The sequence below is a fragment of the Homo sapiens genome, chromosome 6, assembly GCF_000001405.40.
Source record: "Homo sapiens chromosome 6, GRCh38.p14 Primary Assembly".
Classification (NCBI taxonomy): Eukaryota; Metazoa; Chordata; class Mammalia; order Primates; family Hominidae; genus Homo; species Homo sapiens.
The window spans coordinates 100609058-100624835 of record NC_000006.12 but is presented as its reverse complement, the minus strand read 5'-3'; the positions used below and the strand labels follow the sequence as shown (position 1 = coordinate 100624835).

The following is a 15778-nucleotide window of genomic DNA, read 5'->3' as shown; positions in this document are numbered from 1 at the left end:
ATATAAAAATTTAAAACCTGTTATTATCCTTTCCCTAAGTAATAACCACCAGTAAAATTTTAAATTAGAATTTTTGTGTCTATGCAGTTATATTCCATTATGCAACTATTTCATAGTGGTTTTCTCCTGTAATTTAATAATCATGCATCCTTATTATTGTAGATTTTTCTCTGTTTAAAATTATTTTCTCAGTATAGAGTTCTAAAAAGAAAATCAGTGGGTCAAATAATGTGAATATTTTTACAGCTTTTCAGGTACACTGCTAATTACTTTCCAAAAGAACTGTACTTATTGGTGTCATCACCACTGATGTATGAATTATCAGAAATATATGAGAGTAACAGTTTTACTACATCCTCATTTGTTGCAACTTATTGATATATTATAGATAAAATATTATCTTACCTTAATGTATGCCTTCATTTTTGATTGGTTGAACATTTTTTTTTCATATATTTACTAGTTGTCTTCTTTTTTATTTGTTGTCTCTTCATTTCTTTTGGTCTTTCATCTATTCCAGGACAGCATTTATTTTGTAGATTTGTGTGAGAGCTTTGCCAAATTTAGAAAAATATATACATATATAAAATTTTATAGATTACTTTTCTTCATATATGTGTATTTCTATACATATATACATATTAATCTTTCACCTGCTGTATTAGGTAACTTTGCTAGTTTATTGCTTGTCTTTTTTTCATGGTGTCTTTTTTTTTATTATTATACTTTAAGTTTTAGGGTACATGTGTACAACGTGCAGGTTAGTTACATATGTATACATGTGCCATGTTGGTGTGCTGCACCCAGTAACTCGTCATTTAACATTAGGTATATCTCCAAATGCTATCCCTCCCCCCTCCTCCCACCCCACAACAGGCCCTGGTATGTGATGTTCCCCTTCCTGTGTCCATGTGTTCTCATTGTTCAATTCCCACCTGTGAGTGAGAACAATATCATGGTGTCTTTTTACAAATAGAAGACTTTGCATTTTATGTAATCCAGTTTGTTAGTATGATCCTTTATGATTCTTTATACTACATCTAAATATAGATATTCCTCCTCCTCTCTATAGATTTAATATATAGTGATTGTTCTTTCTTACACTTTTCCAGTTTTGAAAAATATTTTCCTAAATTGAGTTACAATGAAAACAGATGAAATCAGTAGATAATTGTTGCATTGTGATCTCTCCACCAACCCTCTTCAGTGTTCCCACTTTGTAATCTCATGCAGGCTAAAGAAGAGCAGTGCTGTTCGGCATCAGTAAAAAACAATGTTCCAAATCCACTGGTGCCCAGGATTAACAGTTTGCATATTTCTCCCCTTCTACTTCTCATGACTCATTTAGAGTTAGTAGGACTGTTAGATAGTACTGTATGTATTACATTATTGTGTAATAGTTAACTGATATTTCAGAATGTTTTTGCTTAGTTCTATAGATGACCTTATTCACTAACAGACTCATAAATTAGCTTAATATGCAGGCTATCAAATGACTGCTTGAAGTAGAGTAATAGCGATCATTTTATCTTTTAAATTTTATCTTTATTTACTTAATGTTACTTGTATGGGTATACCAGATATTTAAGAAAATAATTTATGTTCAAAGTAATGTTGATAAAAGATTTTTTTATCCTGTATTATTTAATTGATATCTGAATAATCATCCTGTTGTGTCTAAGGTAGTATCATAACTTAGGAGGCAAATGATGAAAAATAGATATACAAAATATTGATGACTCAGTTTATGTGTGGTATCTCTCTAGGCTTAATTTTATTTTATATGTTATCCTAAAAGTCTTCCAAATGGACACTTTTCTTTGAAGTCAAGATACAATGTACAAACCTACCAAACACACTTTGGGATGTTTGCTTAAAGTATATAGACATTGTGCATTATCACAGTGTACACTTCCACTGTGTTTCTTTTTGTTGTTGTTGTTAATTTTAATATATGAGACCTAAAGAATTGTAGTTAGCTCAGACTTTGTGTAGAATTCCTTCTCTGTTTCATATTTTTTTTATCGGCAGAAAACTTTATCCACAAGGCTAGGTAGAAACTATAGAATATACTCTCGTGGTTTCTGCTGTTGTAGATTTTTCACTGCTAAAATAGGATACCTAGAATATTTATTTTATTATAAATTTATTATTGTATTTATTAACAAATATTTGTTATAATTGTATTATTTTTATATTTTTTTCTTCAACTTTTATTTTAAGTTCTGGGGTATATAAACAGGATGTGCAGGTTTGTTACATAGGTGTATTAGTCTGTTTTCATACTGCTATAAAGAACTACCCAAGACTGGGTAATTTATAAAGGAAAGAGGTTTAATTGACTCACAGTTCAGCATGGCTGGGGAGGTTTCAGGAAACTTACCATCATGGTGGAAGGGGAAGGGGAAGCAAGACCCCTACCTCACAAGGTGGCAGGTAGTGGAAGTGCTGAGCAAAAGGGGAAGAGCCCGGTATAAAACGATCAGATCTTGTGAGAACTCTCTCTATCATGACAACAGCATCGGGGAAACGGCCCCCATGATTCAATTACCTCCACCTGGTCTCTCCCGTAACATGTGGGGATTATGGGGATTACAGTTAACGATGAGATTTGGGTTAGGGTCACAAAGCCTAACCATATCAATAGGTGAACATGTGTCATGGTGGTTTGCTGCACAGATCAATCCATCACCTAGGTATTAAGCCCAGCATCCATTAGCTGTTCTTCCTGATATTCTCCCTCCCACCATCCTCAACAGGCCCCAGTGTAGTTCCCCCCGTATGTCCATGTGTTCTCATTTTTCAGCTCCCACTTATAAGTGAGAACATGGGGTGTTTGGTTTTCTGTTCCTGCATTAGTTTGCTGAGGATAACAGCTTCCAGCTCCATCCATGCCCCTGCAAAGGACATGATCTCATTTCTTTTCATGGCTGCATAGTATTCCATGGTATATATGTACCACATTTTCTTTATCCAGTCTATCACTGATGGGCATTTGGGTTGATTCCATGTCTTTGCTATTGTGAATAGTGCTACAGTGAACATACGTGTGCACGTATCTTTATAATAGAACGATTTCTATTCCTTTGGGTATATGCCCAGTAATGGGATTTCTGGGTCAGATGATATTTCTGCCTCTAGATCCTTGAGGAATTGCCACACGGTCTTCCACAATGGTTGAACTAATTTACATTCTCACCAACAGTGTAAAAGTGTTACTTTTTCTCCACAACCTTGCCTGCATCTATTGTTTCTGGACTTTTTAATAATTGCCATTCTGACTGATGTGAGATGGTACCTCACTATGGTTTTGCTTTGCATTTCTCTAATGATCAGTGATGCTGAGCCTTTTTTCATATGTTTGTTGACCACATTAATGTCTTCTTTTGAGAAGTATCTGTTCATATCCTTTGCCCACTTTTTAGTGGGGTTCTTTTTTTCATGTAAATTTGTTTAAGTTCCTTGTAGACTCTGAAAGTTAAATCTGTTAGTTTTATTATTGTATTTATTAACATAAATATTTGTTATAAATGTACTATTTATTTAAATGTGTGATAAAATAGGACAGCTAGAAATATTATGTCATTTCCATTTGGTTTTCTGTTCCTGCATTAGTTTGCTGAGGATAACAGCTTCCAGCTCCATCCATGCCCCTGCAAAGGACATGATCTCATTTCTTTTCATGGCTGCATAGTATTCCATGGTATATATGTACCACATTTTCTTTATCCAGTCTATCACTGATGGGCATTTGGGTTGATTCCATTTTGTTTCACCGCGCCCATCTGAAGAATAAGGCAAACTATGCTTTGTTTTAGTACTGATTCTAAAAGCAATCACCTTTAAAATGAAAATTTCAGAGGGTTTACAGCTGATTACTATGTAAATTCAGTGTGATTATACTGAAGCATACTATAAAGCAGGTGTTTTAGTTGTTGAACCCTTAAATAATTAGCCCTAAATAATTAATAGGAAAACTTTTTAACATTTTAATCTTTGTGTGGGTTACTTTCCGTAATATTCTGGGCTGGAAGCTTAGCGGTTGCTTCCATTGCTGCTCCTTGTGTAGTGTTAAATTGATGTTCTGTGGCAGGACATGGGTAATTGGTTAAGACTCTAGTGTTGACAACTTGAGCATTCAGAGGAAGCACAGCAGCAGTTATCCCGGCAACTATGAAGCAGTGTGTCTGGCATAGAACAGCATTCAAATTATTCTGCTGTTCAGTGACCTTAAGTCAAGAACTGTCTATAGATATTTGGGCTGGGGGCATGGAGAATAAAGAAAGCTAGGGTAGATCACAAGAGGCTAGAGAGAGAATATGACTAAGAAGAGTATATGTGTTCTCATTAATTTATTGGCAAAGGCAAAAAGAGTTATTCATCTATCTTCTTAATCCAGTATAGTTTCAAAGTATTAGGAAGCAGAAAGACACCTTCAAGTGTATCATTGATGTAAAGTTATACTGCATCAGGAAACCCCAAAGGAAATACCTTTCCATATTGTCATTAGGAATCCTTATTGCAGTGGTTTCAAAAGTTTATGGGTATATGCTACCATGTGACCTGGATTTTGCTACTTCTGCCACTAACCTCAAGCTATTATTAGGTCTTTGCATCATTCTCTCAAGCTTCAAGTCAAGATAGAAAGAGTTGAATGCCTGAGTTTCCATCTCTGGTATGCAGCAGAAAAAAGGAATCTCCCTTCTTTGGCTTCTCTCATAGGAGGTGACATTCAGATACTGGCTGCCCATAAACAACAAAGGTCCACTATGGCCCTTTCACTCCTCAAACTCATACATACACTACTTTTCCTATACCTACATTTAATTAAAAAATTTTTTTTCTAGCAATGCAAGGTCTCCTTCATTTAACCCAAATCCACTCATCCCTCTCCAAGGAAAGACAAGTAAAAATTTCGTCAACTCCATTTAGCACTTAGTCCTAGATCTCTTGCTTGTATCTAGTCACCCTCTAGTTCTTTTGCAAGCCCATCTCAGTATTCTCTAGTCAGTGGACTAGATTATAAAGTTACAGCTAACTAATGCCGTATTCTACAGTAAAAGAGGATAGAAAGAGGGAAGAGGAATAAAATTAGTTTAAATATATTAGTTAAAATATGTTGATATATAAGACAGCAAGAGAAAATGATTAGAGACCACTCTGTATTTCTGCAACTAGCCAGGGGGCCAAATAGATATTTATGATTCATTTTCTCTACCATACATCATCTGTACATTTTTTCTTCAACCAGTCATGAAGCTAATCAAGACTCTTTATCCAGTGGAGTGACCAAAAGCATACATTCTTGATAGATTGAAAATTGCAATTTTATATATGGTTAATATATAGGATTGTAAAATCTTTAATTAATTTTTCAAATGGATACAGTAGTGTCAGATTTATTTATGTTCTATCCAAATTTCTCTCCCCTTATTATAAAAAAATAGCCCAATTTCTTCATCAGGATAAGTTTCCCAGACTATACTGAGACCACATTTTGTTTGTTCATCCAAGAACCTGAGAGCCTGAAGTGGTCATGTGGCTGTTTCAGTTTCCAAGTAAACTGTTAATCCTTTTGATAATAAGCCTCCGAACTAGCAAAGCTAGAGTTATAGGGAAGAGAAGGCAAAAGTTTTCAAGTGGTTTTTTGTCTGTGATTTCAAAAGACATCCACACACCTTGAGTACTTGGTTCCTGGAACCATATATTCTGGCAATAGAACAAATAGCATCATTGATGATTACTAGTTCAGAGGCTACACCTCATCCTGCAGGATAGTACCCCAACCTTTCCCAGGTATTGCCTCCCAGCTGCCATTCTGAATCTTTAATCTATAAAACCAGCTCTTTCTATTAATGAGAACATAATAAGACCAGTGCATTCAATGGCATCATCCTATTGTCTTACCTTTTCCTTTATGAAGTGAGTTCCTCAGACAGAAACATTATTATACAGGGTATCGTCATGATGTATAAGGCATTCAGTAATTCTACCCTTGAGGCTACTAGCAGAACCATGTTTGGTAGGAAAAGAGAATTAAAATCCAAAGTAAGTGCCTGTTCTTACAGAGATGAATACGTGTCTCCTCAGTGATACAGAAGGTCCAGTATAATCTTCTCACCACCAGATAACTGTCTGGTTTCAGGGGTAAGATACTTTATTATGGGCCCAGTGTTTCCACTGTTGGCATATTAGGCACTGAGCAGTAGCAATAGCTGGGCCTTCGTGAGGAAAAGGAAGTTTATGTTTCACCCATGCATAATTTTCATCTCTTTTACTTTGGCCACTGAGTACATAACCTATTGCATAAAACACTGTGGCCTGGGAAGGAGGCTGTCCGATATCCTAAGAGGTGGTTATTTTGCCCATTTGATCATTACCAGCATATTGCACAATGCTCTTAACTTTTTGTCACGAATCTTCGTGAAATACAGGTAGCCTTTTATTCTGGCACTGTTCTAAGAGTTCATCCACCTAAAACTTGTGCCTTTCTGTCCTCCAGTAATACTCTTGTCAAACTCCTTACCATCTGGCTAATCTGGTTACCTTCAGGGCAAAATGTGAATCATCAACTTGCATCATCTCTACTTTCCAGTAAAGTGACAGTGAAATACTCAGTTTATGATCAACAGTTTTCATTGCAAGGTCACCTGGTATCACATAGTCGGGCACTCAGTCTTCTTTCGCTTCCTACTTCCCCAAAATATCCATAAAAATAGCAGTCCTCTAATTCAAAGCCATAGGCAGCCCTTCTCAGAATCTGTAAAGTATTCATTTTTAAAAGAAGAAGTTATATTTTGGACATGTTAGTTTGTATATCTAAGACTTTCAAGTGGAGATTTCAAGGCAATTAGATACAAGTCTGTAAAACCCACAGAGACTGTGAAATGAACATATGAACATGGATGCATCAGCATGGCGGCAACCCTTAAACCAAGGTAAGCACATGAGACTCTCAGACAGAGTGTGGAGAAACAGAGGGCAGGCCCTGAGGGATTCTCTTAGTGCGAGCTGAGATAGAAAATGAGGAACTGGCACAGGTCACTGAGAATGTGATGCCAGTATAGTAAGACAGTGTCCTAAAACACTGTAGAAGAGAGGGTTCTGTGAAGGAAGGAGTGCTTGGCTATATCAAATGTAAATGGGAGTTGAGTGGAGGAGAGCACAGGAAACACCCATGGGGTTTATCATTTGAAGGTCCTGGATGAACTTGGCAGTCAGTGACATGTGAACAGAAGCAGTTTGGAATAGACTGAGGAGCAAATGAGGGGGGCAAGGAGGTGAAAATAGAAGCAAATAGCATATACAACTTCTAGAAGTTTTACTGTGTAATTTAATTAATATTATAATTTAACATCTAGCAAGTATGATCTGTCAGCTTCCACCCAATATTCTGCAGTCTGGTCCCATATTTCAAGGAAAATAGTGCTACGATCTGGATAGTTGCCAACCAGCACTAACAGATAAAAGAACAGAGGGAAGGCCTTTTCTTCTGAGTGAGTCTATGGATTGAAAGCTCAGAATACTGGGCCAGGCACGGTGGCTCACGCCTGTAATCCCAGCACTTTGGGAGGCCGAGGCAGGCAGATCATTTGAGGTCAGGAGTTCAAGGTCAGCCTGGCCAACATGGTGAAACCCCATCTCTACTAAAAAAAATACAAAAATTAGCTGAGCATGGTGGCATGTGCCTGTAATCCCAGCTACTCGGGAGGCTGAGGCATGATAATTGTTTGAACCCAGGAGGCAGAGATTGCAGTGAGCCAAGATCGCGCCACTGCACTCCAGCCTGGGTGACAGAGCAAGACTCTGTCTCAACAACAACAACAACAACAACAACAACAACGACAACAACAAAAAGTTCAGAATACTGCCCTTAGATGAGATTCCTTTTCTGGGGTGGGAAAGCAGGATGCTGGCTGAAGATTAGACTTCATTCTTTAGTATTGCTTACATTATTTCCCTCAACACCTCTGTGTTTCTTGCCAGTTAACAGCAGGGCGGCCCCTTTCTTCTGCCACACTGTTAAATAAGATCCAGGTAGCTAAAAGAAGAATACAACAACAAGAACTCGCTATTCACTTTTGTCCTTACAAGTAGAAATTAATTAGGATTCTGCAAGGCCTTTTGCCATGAATGTTTTAAGTTGTGCTCTAAAGTCTACAACATCATCCAAAGGTAGGTGGGGGAAAAAATCTGAAGCAGGAAAGGTAAGAGCCTTCTGACTGGAGCAAACCATGGAAAAATTCCAGGTAGAGGTAATACGAAATTAGAAGGGTATGGGAGATAAGAGTTCCCTGGAACAAGGAACAGCAGTATAGTTAATCCTTGTTAATTCAAATTAATTGGCTGGAAGTCTCTTCTAAATTATACAGAACATTATTTTTTGAATGTGCCAATTATAATTTTACATGGTGCTTCAAAGTGAATTTATGAAAACTGTAATGCAGGTGCATAGGAAGAATACTTTCATGAAAAGTAAGATTGATAGTGTTTTCACATGCTTAATACTAAAGTGTTTTTAGATGCTAGAGCAGTTTATCATTTTAAGCTAAACATAATCCACCTAATCTCATTACAAGTAAAATATTAGTAGACCTACAGAGATGAACTATAGTTTTGCTTTACTCAAAATTATCCTGAGTTCAGATTTGGTGGAGATTCTAATGACATTTTACTATAGTTTTCTTTGATTAATTTGCCTGTTCATTCAACATATAAATAGATATTGGCCTCTTCTTGTAGGTAAGAAGTTAGTACTAGATGTTGAAGATGGATTTTGAAATTGTTTTAAATCAGAAATTAAGTTGAATTTAATGCAGGATAACAACATCATTTCTAACTCAAAGGACCTGTTTTTTATAGAACTAAAATAAATTTAGTTCATGGTACAAAATTCCCACCCCAAGTGCTTTCTGTTTTATCAAGCCTCATACCTCTAAATGACTGACCAGTAAATAAACTATTAAGCTGAGAATATTGAGTGTCAAGCAGACATTATCTACAGATTTGCTGAGCACTGAATGTTTGAAACCAGTTGGGCCTTGTGAAATATTTCTGCAATTTAGAGCAGCTATTCAGTATCCTTGAGTTACAATATAGGAGGCTGTTTTATTTTATTTTGCCTTAGTTGGTAGCATGCATATCCTACTGAAGAAGGAGGCAAAATGTATCAATTATTGCTAAGCATAATAGTAGTTTACTTTTACTAAACTAAGTATTAAGTGATGTATTTATATAGAGTACTTTAGAATTCATTAAAGTTTATATTATCACATTTTATCATGAATTCTCAAAGGGTAGTTTTTATTATCCCAGTTTTATAGATGCAAAAACTGAAATTAGAAGGATTAAGTGATTGTCCAGATAGCACAAGCAAGCAAGTGGCAGCTTAGGAACTCAAAACAGGGTAGCTAACCTACAGTCTCTGTTATTTTAATCTGCCATACAGTAATTGGAATCAGTGACAACAATATCGAATAGAAAAGATGGAAAAGTCATGGTGGGGGTGGGAGTAATTTGATGGGGACAAAAGTGCAATAAAAATAAAGAAAAATCAGTAGCTGGGCTGAGCACGGTGGCTCATGCCTGTAATCCCAGCACTGCAGGAGGCCGAGTTGGGTGGATCACCTGAGGTCAGGATTTCAAGACAAGCCTGGCCCAGGTGTGGTGGCACGCACCTGTAGTCCCAGCTACTCGAGAGGCTGAGGCAGGAGGATCACCTGAGCCTGGGAGACAGAGGTTGCTGTGAGCCAAAATCACGCCACTGCACTCCAACCTGGTCGACAGAGCGAGACTCCATCTCAAAAATTTTTTTTAAGAAAAGGAAAAAAAAAATAAAAATTAGTAGCTGAAATATCAAACGAGCAAACAACAGGAGCTGTGCCATTCTCAATCATGAAGATAGTTGAAAAAGGTAATATTTTAGTTTAAAAAAGAAAATAATTTTAGACATTCTTCATTTTTAGGCATAGAAGTGGGAAATTAATAAAAAATAGATTTATAAATCATCTGCATAGAGTTACTCATTATTTCATAACTCATTATTTCAAATACATTACTCATTATTTCAAATCTTACTTGTTTTCTGCATGTAGTCTAAAACACTGGGGCTCACCCTTAAGCCTGATTAATAATATTATTACTTTCATTAGTTAACTAAATATCCCTCTTATTCATGTAGTGATTAGAGGGTGGCATTGTGCTTGAGAGGATGGACTGGAGCCAGGCTTCTTGGTCAATACTGACTGCCTGTTACAAGCTATGTGGCCTTGGTAGGATTAATCTCTGCGCGCCATCTCTTCAGTTATGAAAGAGAATAATAGGAAACCCATCCTCATAGGAATGTTGTGAGGATTACATGTGTTAATACGTTTAAGATACCGAAACATAGTTAAATGTTTAATAAATATTAACTGTTATTACTGTGATTGTATAGCAACATGAAATTATACCTTATAGGTTCTCTTTGTTGAGAGTTGTGGTAAAATCTGATCTTATATTTGTACCTTTTTGCCTGCTGTGATCCTTCACAAATTTAATTCATGTTAATATCATAATTACGCATTTAACAATATACTACTTTCGAAAATTTTATAATGTCCCTTTCATTACCTTTATCTGCATTTTTAAAGTTTTTCAATATATGGAAATGCTAAATATGAGTTAGAATCAAAATTCTTCAACAATGGAAATAAAGATAAAAGTTATAATCAGAAATAAATATGAAGTGCTTACACTGGGATTTCCTACCAACAGCGTGCCAAATTAAATTAAAAACATGAATAAGAAAAAATCTTTAATATCTTACCCTACAACCCAGTTTTGATACTGCTTTTATTAAGAATTAGGCCAAGTGCAAGGGACATAGACATTTTTCAAAAGAAGACATACAAATGGCCAAGAAGTATATGAAAAAATGCTCACCATTACTAATCACCAGAAAAATGCAAACTAAAACCACAATGAGATATTATTTTACCCCAGTCAAAATGGCTATTATCATCTATGAGGATGCAGGGGAAAGGGAACTCTTACACGCTGTTGGTGAGAATGTAAATTAGAACAACCTCTATGGAAAATAGTCTGGAGATTTCTCAGAAAACTAAAAATAGAATTACCGTTCCACCCAGCAATTTTACTACTAGGTGTCTACCCGAAGAAAAAGAAATCAGTATATCAAAAAGATACCTGCACTCATATATTTATTGCAGCACTATTCACAATAGCAGATACAGAATCAACCTAAGTATCCATCAGTAAATGATTGGAATCAACCTAAGTATCCATCAATAAATGATTGGATAAAGAAAATGTATATATACAAAATAGAATACTATTCAGCCATAAAAAAGAATGAAATCATGTCTTTTGCATCAGCATGGATGGAACTATATAGGTCATTATCATAAGGGAAACAAGCCAGACACAGAAAGCCAAATATTGCATGTTCTCACTCATAAGTGGATGCTAAAAAATGTATACATGTGACTATGTACCCACAAAAAATAAAATTAAAAAAATTTAATTTATACAAATGGATGGAGAGGAATAATATACAATGGAGACTTGGAAGGGTGACAGAGTAGGAGGGAGGTAGACTATGAGTAATTACTTAATGGGTACAATGTACCCAATTCAGGTAATGGGTACCCTAAAAGCCCTGACTTGCCCACTACGCAATCTAGACAGGTAATAGATTCTGCTTGTACCCCTCCCTCAAAAAATATTTTAAGACAAATTTAAGCATGCTTTCCTGAAAAAAAAAAGAAAGAAAGAAAGAAAAAAAGAATTAAGCCAAACTAAAAAGCAAACATTGAAAATAGTATTGTGTATATTTGGCAAAATAGCAAAGATTTAGCTGTTATTGTTTGTATTTCATTTGTACATTTAATTTATATTTCACTTATATATTTACTTCACATGTAATTTAATCACATATAAATATATTTATATTTTGAAAGTATGATAAATCATTTTGAGGTGTGCTTGTCTTTGAGCGTCAGAAAGAGCAACGAAGTATAAATTTTGGGAGTATTGATACAGTTTAGAAACTATTCTTTTTAATTCATTTATTTCTTGAATTCTTTTTTATTAGTGTATCAGTAGAATGCTGTAAAATGTTTCATTGTTTTTCTTCCTTCAGTGTATGGGGTTTATCATACAGACTTGTATTAAAAGAAATTAACATTTGGTGATTATAAGGAAATGTTTTAGTGTCATTTAATATCTGTACCAGATATGATAGATTTAATTATTTTTATTTAAAAATAAAACTTCAGAACTTTTATGATTCTTCTGTGGTACATCTTTTATTGAGCATTTCAGACAATTGATAAGCATTATTCAGTGGCATATGGTCTGAGTCTGACATGCTTTGAAAAGAGTATAGAGTTCTGATAATGAGGATTCTGTGAAAATGAGAAAACCAGCACAACAGATATGCTTTGAGAAAGTATGGGTTTTTAGCATCTTGAAACAATATATCACATTCAAAAGGACAGAATTGGGCTGCACAATCTGTTAGCTCATTCTTGTTCAATCTGGTCTCCTCCTTTTGGTGCCAACGTTGTCATCAACTCACTGAATTATATTCGACTGGAATGTATTTCAGGCACAGAGTAATGTATCTACTTAAATGGAATCTATATTTCTACAAAAGCTTTTTGAGTATAATAAATATAAAATGTAAAAAAGTTCTATTAAGTTAAAGTAAATGGTTCAACAGTTTACATATGTGCCTCCTCCCCCCAACCTTAAGAAAAAGATCACTACCTAGAATAACATAGATCTGTTTTTCTGTTACGTATAATATTGAATAATTTTTTTAACAATCAGGTGGTCAGACATATTTCAAAGGCTATTTATTGGAAAGACACCTATACATTACAACAAATAATTTGTTGAACAAAAATGAACTATGGAAGTAAAACTTCTTCTATCAGTGTTTCATTTATCATGGTTTTTTTTTTTAATTCTATAGCAACTCTTCTTAACAAGAATTAAGCCTTAATGTCCTAAGGCATCCATTTTATGTATAAAATAAACTTGTCTCCTCTCCATCTAGAAAAGTACTAGCTATCACTAGAAAAATTGAGAAGATGGTAACCCAAGTATTTTTTATGGGGGTTAATTCTCTCATGGAACCAGGGCTAAGAAACTATACTCTTTAGTATTCAAAATCACTGGGTCTTTCCATTTGACATATACTCAGTTGTATAAATTAATTGTTATATTAGGACTATATTACTTTATATAAAGGATTAAATGTGATAATCTTTGTAAAGTGATAAACACAATGCCTGGCATATTATAAGTGCTCAACAAATTATATCTATTGTCATGTTTTAAACTTTCATTATCCTAAGTTCCTGAATACTTTTGCTTGTCTTAAGATGTTTTGATCAAGATGAAACTTATTTTTAAGTACAGTAACAAAGATGTATATAATCCAAAAAATTAGATTTTCAAATTTGTATAGGCCGTCCTAGTAGTATTTTGTGCTTAATGATTAACAGCTATAAATTTTGCTTTTTATGATGTTCAAATAATTTGAAATTCATCCAGAGAAACCATGTAATAAATGAAGTTTTTTGTGTGTGCGATTGTCTTCATGAGGATGTTAAGTCTTTGCCAGTTCAGATAAACAAACAGTTCTCTTTACTGCATTGATTTATGTGAAAGTGGGGTCTAGGAGATTGAGAAACTGTTAGCCTTCCCTGGTGTAAAAGACAGAATATTAATGCCTCACCAGACCTTCTGCCAGAGGATTCTTTAGCTTTCCTATGGCAAATGATTCATTATTCTTTGGGTATGATTGGCATTGCCACGGGGCACTACAAATTACACAAGTTATATATACTTATGTAAGTTTAAAAGTGAAAAAAAATCTCTCAAACTAATTATTAGAACAAGGACACCAGTGAATTAGTTCCTTGTAGTGTAAATTGAAGACATTTTATGCTGTGAACTATTGAACAAAAAATGGAGAATAAGTTGTCTAATGAGAATACCTAACATGTAGTTTATGAGACAAGACAAGCACCTTTCCTTATATCATGCATTTATAGTCAGTTTACATGTCCTGTGCTAATTTTAAGGTAAAGTGGATTCATACTAATATATTTCCATATTCCTGCTTAACAGTTCATAAAGTAAATAATACAAGAATACTAGGTGGCCAAACAGAATGAACTATTTATACATGAGCTATTTAGACATTGTATTCAGTTCAGTGAAAGTTGATAAATAACATTTCTTATGTGTATGTCATTAAAATATCACCTAGTTTGTACAGTGCTTTTTTAATACCTTAGTAATTATTATAAAGCTAAACTTTATTGTCCTATTTTATGGATTATTATAAGTATAAAACAGCTTGCTTCCACATTAAAAAAAAACTTAGAAAATTTTTCTGACTAGTGAAAATAAAATGAACAAGAAAGCAGTTGGAATGTTTCATTATGTGGATATTTTCATACATTTTTACTAAACTGCAGCAGCAGCAATAGTTTCTCAAGCTGAGGATTTTGTGATCTACTTATTGATTTATGCACAGACAAGCTACTAAGTATATTGCAAGCATGCTTATATATATTAGAGGTTGCTAATAGAAAAAAGGAAATAAGATCTGAAGAAATTGTCACTTTTTTATACTTCTATCTCAGGCATATAAAAGTTATGCATTTACTATTTCCAAGTTACTTCTCCCCTGTTGCTTACTGCTGGAATGTGGTGGTGAAACTTTAGAGATGTATCCTTCTTTTCAGTGCTCATGTCTTCTCAAATCACTTGGTCTTAACATTATTCTCCTCATGGAGTTTCCCGGAAAGAACTTCCTTATGCTGTGCCTTATGTTATCCTCTGCTTCAAGGACAGAGAACTATCTGAAACAAAGAAACTGGACTTTCTTTTTTTCTTCTTTTTTTGTGAGACAGAATCTAGCTCTGTTGCCCAGGCTGGAATGCACTGGCATGATCTAAACTTACTGCAACCTCTGCATCCCGGGTTCAGGCGATTCTCCTGTCTCACCTCCTGAGTAGCTGGGGTTACAGGCATGCACCACCATGCCCAGCTAATTTTTGTATTTTTAGTAGAGACGAGGTTTCTCCATGTTGGCCAGGCTAGTCTCGATTTCCTGACCTCAAACCTTACATGATCCACCCACCTTGGCCTCCCAAAGTGCTGGGATTACAGGTTTGAGCCACCACACCCAGCCACAACTATTTAGTTCTTTACAACAAATTTTGTAAGAAAATAAGATTTGCTTTTTCTTCCCATAAAATTTGTGTTACTTTAAGTATTTTCCATGTTGAATGGAAAGTGATAGAATATTCAGAGAGCGTTTCTACAACATGAGTTTCAAAAACCATTTAGATATATGACAGTTTAGTGAGCTAAACTCAGGCTGGAAATGTTTAAAAATGTAAAAATTATAATATATAAAAATTGTGAATATACTAAATGTAGCATTTAAAGTAAGATAAGGAAGTATTTAACCTATATTGCTAGAATAATTGGTTAATTATTTAGGAAAACTAAACTTAGATTTCTACCATAGTTTCTATACAAAAATAAATTACAAGATAATTATTTAAATTTAAAAAATAAAACTATAACAGAAGTTGAAGAAATGGGGAAATATGTATGTATATATTTAGGAAAAGTTTTCTAAGCAACAAAACATAAGGGACCGATTTACAATTTTAGGTCCATAAAGTTAAAGCATAAATAAAATAAAGTGCAAATAAAAAACTGGGGGCAAAAATATTTATAGCAGGCC

At 34.7% G+C, this 15778-nt stretch overlaps 1 protein-coding gene across 5 annotated transcripts in view; it reads left to right on the top strand.

Annotated features, from left to right (window-relative positions):
* The window catches only part of ASCC3 (activating signal cointegrator 1 complex subunit 3), a 373136-nt gene that overhangs the window by 256494 nt on the left and 100864 nt on the right, over positions 1-15778 (top strand). The window lies entirely within an intron of this gene.